This window comes from Homo sapiens, chromosome 6 (assembly GCF_000001405.40).
Source record: "Homo sapiens chromosome 6, GRCh38.p14 Primary Assembly".
Taxonomy (NCBI): Eukaryota; Metazoa; Chordata; class Mammalia; order Primates; family Hominidae; genus Homo; species Homo sapiens.
The window spans coordinates 56,142,545-56,154,925 of record NC_000006.12 but is presented as its reverse complement, the minus strand read 5'-3'; the positions used below and the strand labels follow the sequence as shown (position 1 = coordinate 56,154,925).

General features: G+C 38.3%; 1 protein-coding gene across 12 annotated transcripts in view; it reads left to right on the top strand.

The window, feature by feature from the left end:
* COL21A1 (collagen type XXI alpha 1 chain) overlaps positions 1–12,381 on the top strand; it is a 337,539-nt gene that overhangs the window by 239,203 nt on the left and 85,955 nt on the right. The gene's annotated exons all lie outside the window — the stretch shown is intronic.

The window sequence follows — 12,381 nt, the reverse complement described above, 5'->3', positions numbered from 1 at the left end:
AAAAAGAAAGCAAACTTGGGGAAATTTTTTTTTTCTTAAAAAGTAGGGAGGCTGAAGGGGTAAACAAAAGTGGTAGCCACCTGGAAATGCAGAGAGCTAAGGTGATGTTGTGTGGTTGTTGGGGCAGCATTTTTTCAGCTGACACACAGGGATTCAGAGTGTGAGGGCAATCTACTTAGGGACTTTGAGAAAGACAGTGATTTGATCTGTTTTATGATTTAGAAGGATAAATATAAATGCTATTTGGAGAGTAGATTATATGGGGGCAAGAGTAGAAGAAAGGAGACTATGCAGGAGGTTGTTTCATGATTGTGAGTGGTAAGAGTAGTTTGTACTAGGGTGATACGGTGGGAGAATGGAGAAGTAGTCAGATTCTGGGTTATTCTTAATGGAAAGCTGACTAGAATTGCTAGCAAATTTAGATATAGGATATGAAAGGAAGAGAGGAATCAAAGAAGAATCAAAGGAGTATAGCTTGAGCAACTGGGTGAATTGTGGTGCCATTTACTGTACTGGGCAAGACTGGGGGAGACAGAAGTTTTATAGACATGTCTTAGTCCATTTTCTGTTGCATAACAGAATGCCACAGACTAAGTAATTTATAAAGAAAGGTTTATTTGGCTCATGATTCTGCAGGCTGGGAAGTCCAAGAGCATGACACTAGTATTTGGCAAGGTCTTGGCAGAAATTATCACAAGATGAGAGTGTGAGTGAGAGGTAGTGGAGTGGGAGTGAGCAGGAGAACAAGGGGGTCAGTCATCCTTTTTATCAAGAATTCACTCCCTTGGTAACTAACCCACTCCCACAATAAGTGTCTCCATGACCTAACTACCTCTTAAAGCCCCACATATTATTACTGTTACAATAGTAATTAAATCTCAATGTGAATTTTCAAGGGGGCAAGCATCCAAACCATAGCAGGGGGGAATTGGGACTATATTTTTGGACAGGTTGGAGGTGGCCAGTTGGGACTTATTTTCATGCAGATGTATGCAAAACCATGAGAGTGGATGAGATCACTTAGGAAGTGAATACAAATAAATAGAGAAGAGAAGGTGGCAGGGGACTGACCACAGGGCTCTCTTACAGGTGAAAAAGAGAAAGTGGGTCCAGCCCAGGAATTTGGGAAGGACTTATCGGTGAGATGGGAGGAAAACCAGGGAAGTGTCATCCTATTAGGTGTGTTATTGTTGTCAAGAGATCCAGAAGAATGAAGCCTAGACTAGACCATGGATTTGCTACACAGGAGTATTTGAGGACCTTGATGAGTAGGATTTCAGGGAGGGTAGTACAAACAACAGATTGAAATGAATTAAGCACAGAGAGGGAGATAAGAAAAATGGTGAAAGTGAATGTAGATTTTTTTTTTTTCTGAGAGATATAAAAGGAAGCAGAGACCCAGAGCAGTAGAATTGGGGCAATGTTTTAAAGTCAGGGTTTTTAAAAAATGGGAGATATTGTAGCATGTTTTTATAATGATGAAAATGAGGCAAAAGAAAAAAATGAAAGTTTGGAAGATAGGGGATATTTTCAGGAGGAAAATCCATAGGCAGGTTGGAGGGCGTTGATTCTAGTTAGAAAAGTAGAGCTTGGCCTGGATGGAGAGTGTGGGCAATTAAATCTTTATATGAGACAGAAGTCAAGCTGATAGCACTGAAATAGCTAAGTAGGCTATTTTGGGGGAATTTAATTGAGGGAATTATCATAAGACAGCTTCTATTTGAATGAAATTGAATTGAAGGAATAGACTCCAAACCTAACCTCTCCTCTTTTGTATTTATCTTCGACCCCCATTATATGCCAACATTTGCCTTATAATTTCCCTTATAACCCATTCCTTTCTCACTTTTACTTAAGATGTCATATGACTTTATTGCATTTCCTCACTGCAATTCTTTAATCTCACTGAAGATACTTCCCTGAGGTCCTATGTGAGTTTCGCCCTAATTACACTGGGTGAGCTGAGTTTTATAAATGTGAGCCTCCTTAGCCTGCAGACCCCTTTCCTGGGACCTACTTTTTCTGTGACTGGCAGCTGAAGTGCTGTACTGACTCCAGAGCCAATGCAGTTCACACACTGATGTCATCTGCTCATGCCTAATAATGACACAGAGCTCCCAGATGGCACTGCTAAATTATTTAGGTCTTCTTTTTAGTGATAAAAAAATCCTGGGTAATGTTTGGAAGTGAGTGCTGAGCAGGCCTTCCACAGGCTATCAGCCCTTGGTTTTCTTTGTTTAAAAAAAAAAATCTTCCCATGCATGAAGCACTGGAGGTGAATTATTGTTAGCCTGATATAATACTCATGGATATTACTCTATGACTCTGACTAAGTTATAATAGAATTATTTATTGCCTCATCTCATTTAGTACATGTATGTGTTTTGGTGTCTGTGTGTATGATTTTATATATAGATAACTATGGTAGTATCTGATAGTAGTCTCAAAGAAAAACACAACTGTGGTAGGAAGAATAATGGTCCCTCAAAGATGTCCACATCCTAATCTTTAAGACCTGTAAATGTGTTACTTTACATGCAAAAGGAACTTTGCAGATATCATTAATTTAATGATCTTGAGATGGGAGATTGGCCTGGATTATCTGGGCAGCCAGATATAAACACAAAAGTCTTTATAAAAGGGAGGCAGGAGTGTCAGAGTCAGAGAAAGAGAGTCTGTGATGGAAGCAGAGAGCACAGTGAGGTAATCGTGAGCCCAGGAACAATGGCAGCCTCTAGAAGCTGGAAAAGGGAAGCTCCCCTAGAGCCTCCAGAAAGAATGCAGTCTGGCTGGTACCTTAATTTATCTAAGATTCCTTTCAGACTTCTGACCACTGAAACTGTAAGGTAGTGAATTGGTGTTGTTTTAAGCTGCTGTGTTTGGGGTAATTTGTTATAGCAGCAGTAGGAAACTGATACATCAGCCCAAATCCTGTCTTCCCAAAGGTATGACTTTTTCTTAAATATCCAGCCCCTCCCCGCAGTGTCTCCCTACTTCCCCCATATTTCTTTTCCTCTGTAGGGAATGTGACGTTGGGTGGTCAGGCAGGAAGAACAAGCAAGCCTGGGAGCCAAAACAGCTGAGGGTCATTAGTATGTGTTCAAGGCCAGCACCCAGTGGGAGTGGGTAGGTGTGGGTGGGGCCTCTGGCTGGCTATTGGAGCCATCTGGACCAAGGAAACTTGGAAGGAACAATTTGAAGGGAATTCTGCTTTGTTTGGACTTGTTTCTGTGCAACCCCCCTCAATAAGCTATTTGAATCTCTTTCACACATTATAACCAGGCCAAGCCAACTGAAACTTTAAATAGGAAATTATTCCACTCTGGAGAAATACTAATTTTCATAATTGAAAAGTGCCTTCAACCAAAATTAAAGAGCTATTTCAGATCCTTCCATTTCTTTCTCAGTTCTTTGTCAGTTAAATAACCTCTATTATCACAGTGTCTGAATATATTATTGCTTTACAATTTTAACATTACAAAAGAGGTAGGGGAAATATTTATATATCCTGCCAGGTAATTCAGAGGAGTACAGCTACTGAAGGCATTACAGAGATTTATACATTGATTTGTTAAAGAAGGCCATATGTGGAAATAGCACTAGCTTATGAGTTTATAGAAGTTTATATTTTTACAGTGCTCATTTCTGGTTTCTGTTATCATTAGTTACTCTTTTTTTGTTTGTTTGTTTTGTTTTGTTTGAGACAGAGTCTTGCTCTGTCGTCCAGGCTGGAGTGCAGCCGAGCGATCTCGGCTCACTGCAAGCTCCGCCTCCTGGGTTCATGCCATTCTCCTGCCTCAGCCTCCCGAGTAGCTGGGACTACAGGCACCTGCCACCACGCCCGGTCAATTTTTTTTTGTATTTTTAGTAGAGATGGGGTTTCACCATGTTAGCCAGGATGGTCTTGATCTCCTGACCTCGTGATCCACCCGCCTCGGCCTCCCAAAGAGCTGGGATTACAGGCGTGAGCCACCGCCCCCGGCCGAGTTACTCTTTATGAAGTAAAGTACTTTACTAAAGCAAAAGCCCAAGCTGATCATTAGAGAGATCTGGGGTTGTTTTACTCTTTGCTGAGCATAGGCTGCTTTGCTTTTATGGGCCTCAGTTTCTCTGTTTGGAAAATGAGAAGATGGTTCCAGATGAGGCCTAGGTTCTCTCTAATCTGATATTCTAGGATTCCATGAAGACCATCATATTGGCTAAGAGAGAAGTAGACTAAGCTGTAAAATTCTAGAGATGATTTTCTATGTTAGTGGGCTCAGGAAGTGAGTTGGAAAAACTGATAGCTCACTGCTACCAATAGACAAAAGAGTGGATTGGTCACTGGGTCACAGTTCGTGATTCAGTTCCCCCCACTCTTGTGTGTGTGTGTGTGTGTGTGTGTGTGTGTGTGTGTGTGTGTGTGTGTGTGATGGAGTCTCGCTCTGTCGCCCAGGCTGGAGCGCAGTGGCGCGCTCTCGGCTCACTGCAAGCTCCGCCTCCCAGGTTCACGCCATTCTCCTGCCTCAGCCTCTCCAGTAGCTGGGACTACAAGCGCCCGCCACCACGCCCTGCTAATTTTTTGTATTTTTAGTAGAGATGGGGTTTCACCGTGTTAGCTAGGATGGTCTCGATTTCCTGGCCTCGTGATCCGCCCGCCTCGACCTCCCAAAGAGTGGGATTACAGGCGTGAGCCACCGCACCCAGCCAGTTCCCCCAACTCTTTAATGTGCCACTGAGTGAACTAGAGGTGCAGACAGGGGCAGCCTTCTATGGAGCATTAAACCTCATAGAAATATGAGGTTTAATATGAGGTCATCACAGGTGGGGAATTTCAAAGTTACGTGACTGATGAAACCACAAAAATATGAAGTACTGGTTGGGGGAAGGTTAATAGGAAATCAATTTGGATATGGAGGAAGGAGAAGGAAGGGAAGATGGCATAGAGTTCTTTAGACCATTGTTATGAGTTTGGCTTTCAGTTGGAGTGAGCAATGGAGTAACTGGAGTAGGAGACCGATGTGATTTAACTTATTTTTAAAAGAAATTACTTTGGCTTCTGGGTTGAGAGTAGATTTTAGGAAGATGAGCGCAAACACAGAAGGAGAAGTCAGGAGGCTCTTGTAACAATCCAGGGGTGAGAGGATGGCAGCTAGGGTCAGAGTGATAGTGGTGAGGTAAAGAGAACTGCTTGCATTTGGGGGATATTTTGAAGTTAGAGCTAACAGGACTTGCTGATCTATTGGATATGGGTTTGAGAGAAAGAGAGAAGTCAAAGGAGACTATGGATTCATGGGAGAATGGAGGAGATAGAACTGGGTGAGGAAAATCAGGAGTGTGGTTTTGGCAATGTTTAAATTTATATGTTAGTCATTCAAGTAGAAATTTTAGGTAGGCAGATGGATATAGAAGTCTGACATTTAGGATGAGTTCTCTTCTTGTGAAGTATCTTTTCTTGTCCTTTGCCTATTTTCTATAGGAGTGAGGGTATATTTCATATGGGCCAATAAGATCTTATGCATTAAGAGAATTAATTCTTTGCTATATATGGTGTAAATGTTTCTTCTGACTACTAATCTGGTTTATAATTTTGTTTTTAATTTTTAGAAATGTAAAATTTCCCCAGAATGTAATGTTTTCTTTTTATTAGTTCCAGTGTTATTTTTCTTTAGCATTAGCTACTCGTGTATGTTAATTTATCTTATTATGATCTTTAATGCCTATTAAGTCTTGATTTCACTGGGAATTTATTTTTGCATTTGAGGTAACATGAAGATCCAAAAAGATTTGGAGAACTTAGAAAATGAGCTATTTACAGTGAAATTCAACTGGAATAAATGTATGGGTCTTACTTGTCTTTGAGATGTTATTTAAGCTGATGAAAAAGGGATTAATGTATGTAATAGGGCTGCCTAAAAGGCTGATGCAATTTTTTGGCATAGTTTGTAAATGCATAACATCTGTATTGAGAGAGATGACAGCCCTGCTTCTGGAGTGTTAGATTTGCTTTAGAACTCTATACTTGAGGCACACGAAGGAACTGGAATTCATTCAGAAGTGTATAACTTGGAGTGGGCCAGAACTCAGAAGACAGCCTGTGAGGGAAGATTCACTGAACTTCAGGTATAATCCAAACAAGAGATGCTACTTTGAAATATTCAAGAATGGTGATAGAGTATAAGAGGACGGGGTGGACAAGCAGCCCTTAGGCTTGCAGAGTACACTTGTTGAGGGTGAGTAATTAAAAAAACAAGTAAGGCCTATGAGATAAGCTTATTTATTATGCTTTCCTTTTTCCAGACCCTTAACTGAACATGGTGCCAGTTGTGGACTCAACAGTTTAAGAGCTGTTGGGAATTTGGGGCTGAATGCCATGAAGATTAAAGAATTGGAAAATGGGATACAGCTGATTAAAGGCCAAAGAAATGGCTATTATTTAGCTTGGAGAAGAGAATTACAAGAGATGGCTTACTTACAAAGTATATGAAATACATTCTAGATAGAACAGTGTCTACCTGAACTCTCACCTCAGTTTGAACTCCTTGGCAAATAGATTTATTTATTTATTTTATGTGTTTCTCTCTCTCTCTCTCTCTCTCTCTCTCTCTGTCTCTTGTCTCACTAATAAGCTAAAATATGAACCATTTACTACAAATGAACTATCCTACCCTTGGGCAGTTTATTGCTTTTTTAGTTATTTAAAACTATGCCTTTATAAGGCTTTCCTAGAGAAAGCTTTAACCTTGGTGAAAAGGCATCGCTGTATGAAATGTGGCTGCCTAAGAGGCTGATATAATTTTTAGCATAGTTAGTAGATATATGACAACTGTATTGAAAGAAATGACAGTCCTGCCTCTTGGAGTGTTGGATTTGGTTTAGGACTCCACACTTGAGAGGCATGCAGGAACTGGAATTCATTCAGAAGAGCATAACTGGGAGCATTTAAAACTCAGAAGACAGCCTATGAGGGAGGGTTTACTGAATTTGCGTATAATCCAAACAAGAGATACTATTTTCAGATATTCAAGAATGATGCTAGAGAAAAAGAGGACAGGGAGGAAAACTAGCTCTCAGGCTTGCGGAGTATCTTGGCAGGGGTTGAATGGTTAGTAAAACAAGTAGGACCCATGAGATGAGCCTGACCAGCTAATTCATTTTTCTTCAACATTCTCCTTCTGTGAAAGTCGTATGTAGATTATTCCATGTTTATCTCACATGTCACTTAAATAGATTACTTAGATATATATTATAGGTAGTATATATAATAATGTGTGTAGACATGTATGTATATATATACACACCAATGTTATTGGTATATTAAATTCTTCAAAGAATTGGTCACTGACGCATCTAACATCTATGATTTTAAAGATAAGTTTGTGCATGTGAATGTAGGCCTGTTTCTACTATTAGAGTTCTCGGTTGGTGATAACTGGTTGAACTCAGTAATTATTGATTTGTTTGCTTATTTATTCTGTTCCTCACTCAGTCATATACCTATATTTGCTGGGTGTTTACTGTATTCCTGGCACTCTTCTAGGCTAAGGATATATAGCAATGAACAAAACAGAAAAAAAAAAAGCAAAAAACAACCCCCCAACCTTGTCATTTTGAAGCTCACATTCTACTGGGGAGAAATAGGTAATAAATGCACACACACAACATCAGATGGTGTTAAGTACTATGGAAAAAATGTAGCAGGACAGCAAGAGAGGAAATGAGGTTAGCTATTGATCGCCTCTCTTTGAGTATGAAAAGCACAATTACTAGAGATTTATGTTGGGAAGTAAGATTTACTAAAGATGGTTTAAGTTACCTTAGAAAGTTGTACATTCTCCTTTTGAAATAAGCTTAGTATAAGTTTAAGTGTAACCTAATTCAGGGAATAAGGCAGTTTACCAAAGTTTAATTAAATTCTGTGAATTTAAGGACCTAGTTCTATCTGCAGAGATTATTTGTCAAAGGTAGGCAATGTTTTTCATTTATGTGCTTAGCTCAAGGGAAATATAGGAAACTGGATGATGTTGCTCTATATTTATCTATCCACTGTTTACCTTTCCTATATGAGAGAGGATTAGATTTAGGCTAAATCTCATTTATAGTTAATGTAGTTTTCTTTAATTTGAAGTAGAAATGTTTTTGAGTCCTTTGTAAGACCCACGAGCTGTGCAGATAACCTCGTCTACCATTCCAATATGTTTTTCAGCTTGCTTCTGCTTATTCTCTCTCTTTTGGCTTTGTGGATATGGTATATCTTTTCCTGATGCATGGCATATTGGAGGAATTCCTCTTAGGCATTGTGCTTTCTTTAGTATTCCCTTGTCTCTTAGAAAAACTCCCAACTGCTTGCCCTTCACCTCCCATAGCAGTGTAGTTCTTTCATAGCACTTAGCTCAGGTGTAATTTTACATATATTAATGGAACTTATTAATGAAGTAATCTAAGCAATCAGTAAAAGCATATAAACCACTTGACTAATAGTTGGGTTAAGTAGCAAACTAGTTTCTATATTAGTTATACATAGAATGACAGAGATTTATTAATTTTCTTGAAATTTAATTGCATAGAGCTATAAAGCCTGCCAACAACAACTAGAAGATTCCACAGTGGACATTAAAAATACACACTTGGTTTTGGTTACCTAGTTACGTTGGCTGTGTACCCAAGACTATCTGTTGGAATTTTGGAAATCTTTGAAGAAAATTATTTAATGGAATAAACTTTAAATCACATTCTTACATTTTTAAAAGGAGGGTGACATCCAAAATTATTTCTTTGGAATTTATTCTTATTTTTAAGTTTAGAGTATTTCAAGGAAACTAATATCTCTACCCTCCTCACTACTTTGCAAAAATGTGTATATTTAGATTGGCAGAATATTTTATGACATGATTAGAATTGAGCACAGAATAGTTGGTGACCCTTGCACATTTGGGGATTTTATTTCCTTAATTTCCATTTCAATGCTATACATATTTCCTGAAGCTTTGTAACTATGAATCATGGAGGAAAATTAAATTGATTCTGTATTCTTTTCTTCAACCCTACAATTTGGCAGTGAGAATATTTTTTTCCCTAAAAAAAAAAAATGACTCATTTATAAAGAAGTTTTCTGTGAACATGGAAAAGACTTAAATACTGTCAGAAATCTTGCAGATGGGGGTAGGGTGGATATTTGGACCTGCTAATAAATGCAAAATGGCAAAATTCATGTTGAACAGTATTAACCACTCAAAGATCATAGGAAAGTTACAGTTCTAAAATGAGACATGAAACGTGTTCTGAAAAATAAGAACTCAATAAGGTATATAAAAAGCTTATTTTTTCCTGTTTTAAGGCATTTTCCTTTCTTTAAGGTTGACCCTGCTATGAGTCAACCAATGTTTTATTTCTTTTTCCTCTTGGAAATTGTTCTGTGTTGTAATATTCCCCTTTTTAACCTTTATTTTCCTGGTTTTTAGTCCAAAATTTGTTTTTCTGAATTTCATTCTATTTCTTCTGGTGTTTTGCCCTAGGATTCCCCCAGCTTGGATGTTGTTTGGTTTTCTTTATTTTGTTACTAACCATGTTTCCTGTAGCTTCTAAAACAGCATTTGAATTTCTTTCTGCAATTAGTACTTTAAGAATGCATCTAATTGTAACCTTAAAAATATACATATCACAACATTCTCAAATTGTGAGAAGCACTTATTATTCCTATATTGTAATTCCTCCAAAGATATAACAAAGAGAGCCATTACAAAATACACTGAGGCCATGTTTGCATGTTTAGCATTAGATCTGTATAATGTTGGAAAAGAGTTAAATCATAAAGATGATGACTGGACCTGCCATTCCCAATGTACTAATGGTGGCTGATAAGGCTGTGGAGTAACATTCTGCAGAAGTATTCTTGTGGTCTTGTACAATAGTCATTGAGTCTGAAGAAAAGAAAGAAACGCACATTTATTGAGTTCCTAACACCTGCCAGAATCTTCACCTGTGACTCCATTTGTTTCTTTTCAAAAGTGAAGTGGATAATAATAACAGTTTATGGTAAGAAACTAAGTCTTTGCTAGGCAAAGTGACTTAGCCAAAATCTCATAGAAAGTAAAAGGAAGGGCAAACATTCAGTGCAAGTTCTTTTCCAATTTCAAATTCATCGTCTTTCCACTTAACTGTGTTGCCTCCCAGGGTTTGGGGATTGATGACTCTGCCTGAGGTCACATTATGAGTCAGAGGTAAGCTGGGAACACAGTTAGGGCATCTCCAAGTTGTTTTAATCTGTTAAAATGAAATGCGTCCTCTATAACAAATACCACATCAACTTCTTCGAAGAGGAGAGACAGCACAGCAGCATTTGATCTTTTATGAAAGATTAATTTTCCTAAAAAAGTAGTAAGGCAGATATGACATTTGGCTTAACTTTTGAAAAACTGTAAAAGAAAAATAATTCATTAAATGTGAACTTTGCAGATGATCAACCATTTTGATCAATAGCCAATTTCCATGGTAACTTTCTTTTGAGGAATTTTATGAACATTCCTTTCCTCTGGGCACTCAGAATTCTAAATAATTTAAAAATAGTCTTGCAAAATGGATTTCTTTGAATCAGTTGAGTCAATCTACAATGATCAGATCTGACCCGCCATAAAGCACTTTCTGATAGAGAATGTTCCCACTGGCTCTATCAACTTACTAGCTATGTAACTTTGGGCAAGTTACTCAACTTCTGTGCCTTAATTTCCTCATCTGAAAAAAAGATAATTTAGAACCTACATTAAAGAGTAGTTGTAAGGAGGAAAGTGAATTCTATATTTGTACATTGCTAGCAGTGACAGAGCTGAGAGTGAATTCTAGGCCTATCTGATTCCAAAGTGGTTGAGGGAAGGAGATTCAGTGATAACTAGAGTAGTAGACATACAGGGCTGAGCAAATTCCATGTAGATTGAATTTCTTCTTACTTTTGAGTAATCCTGAGAACAGGAAACATGAGATTACTAAACGTTTCCATTTTCTACAGAAAGGTGCACAAACATAACATGATTCATTGGAGAAGGAGATTTTTTTTTACACGTTCATGTATAGAGTTGATGACTTTAAATTATTCCAATGTTCTATCAACAGAAGTGTGCCAAAGAATGTGTTCAATGCCAAAAATACAGAAATGAATTAAACCTGGTCTTTGATCTCAAGGGGGCTCATAATCCAGTGACGGAGAGAGTGCTAGTCTAGCGAACAGATGATGGGTTGGAAAAATGCACGTTGTTTTGTCTGGAGTATGGAGAGGTTGATAATCAGACTCATTGTTTCCTGGTGAAGTGCAATGGTTAAGGATTGGGCAAAGACACTCAAGAAAAAAGTTTGAATCTGAGAAGTCATGGAGAAATCATAACAATATATTCTGTGAAGAACTGAATAGAGTATGAAGGAAAGGATGATGGTTGGTGATAAAAAATTGTATAGTCGGCCGGGTGCAGTGGCTCACGCCTGTAATCCTAGCACTTTGGGAGGCCGAGGAGGGTGGATCATGAGGTCAGGATATTGAGACCATCCTGGCTAACATGGTGAAACCCCATCTCTACTAAAAATACAAAAAATTAGCTGGGTGTGGTGGTGGACGCCTGTAGTCCCAACTACAAGGGAGGCTGAGGCAGGAGAATGGCGTGAACCCAGGAGGCAGAGCTTGTAGTGAGCCGAGATTGCACCACTGCACTCCAGTCTGAGTGACAGAGTGAGACTCTGTCTCAAAAAAAAAAAAAAAAAAAGAAAAATTGTATAGTCATTGTCATTCATTCTATAAGTAACTGAGAAGGCAATTTACACAATAGAAAATGTAAATGCATGTAAAAGGAGAAAAACAATAAGACTGATCTTTCAGAGACAACTCATTACTAGAGGTAGCAAAGAATATTAGAAAGGATACTTGAAAATGTGAACAGAAAAACAGGGAATTGTGATGTCTCTAAAATTACAGTTAAAAACATATTGACAGATGAGTGGATGAATATGAAGACCAGTGCAGACACCCATGAATAGCCACATAGAAATGAAGCTTTTAGATTTATGAATGAAGATGTAATTGGAAACATTAATGAGATCTGTGTTAACATAGTTGACAATGAAGACTGGTACCCAAACAGTAAGATCTAAGAAAAATGGAGTCTGAATAAAGAATGTGAGAAAGATGGAACTTGATAGTGGTTATTATGTTTGTAGGTGCCAGGTGGTCCATTAACCTGACAATCAGCCCTAAGAAACCTAGATAAATGTTTAGAGCCTACAAGTTAATTTGGAGACTTTAGCTGCCATGTGCTAAACCAACAATAAATAGTTCAACTCTGTCTAAAAAAATTGTGCTATTTTATCAAAGTTCCAGTTTTTGAGGAGGGATGTCTAAGAAGCAGTGGGGATGAGAGTGAC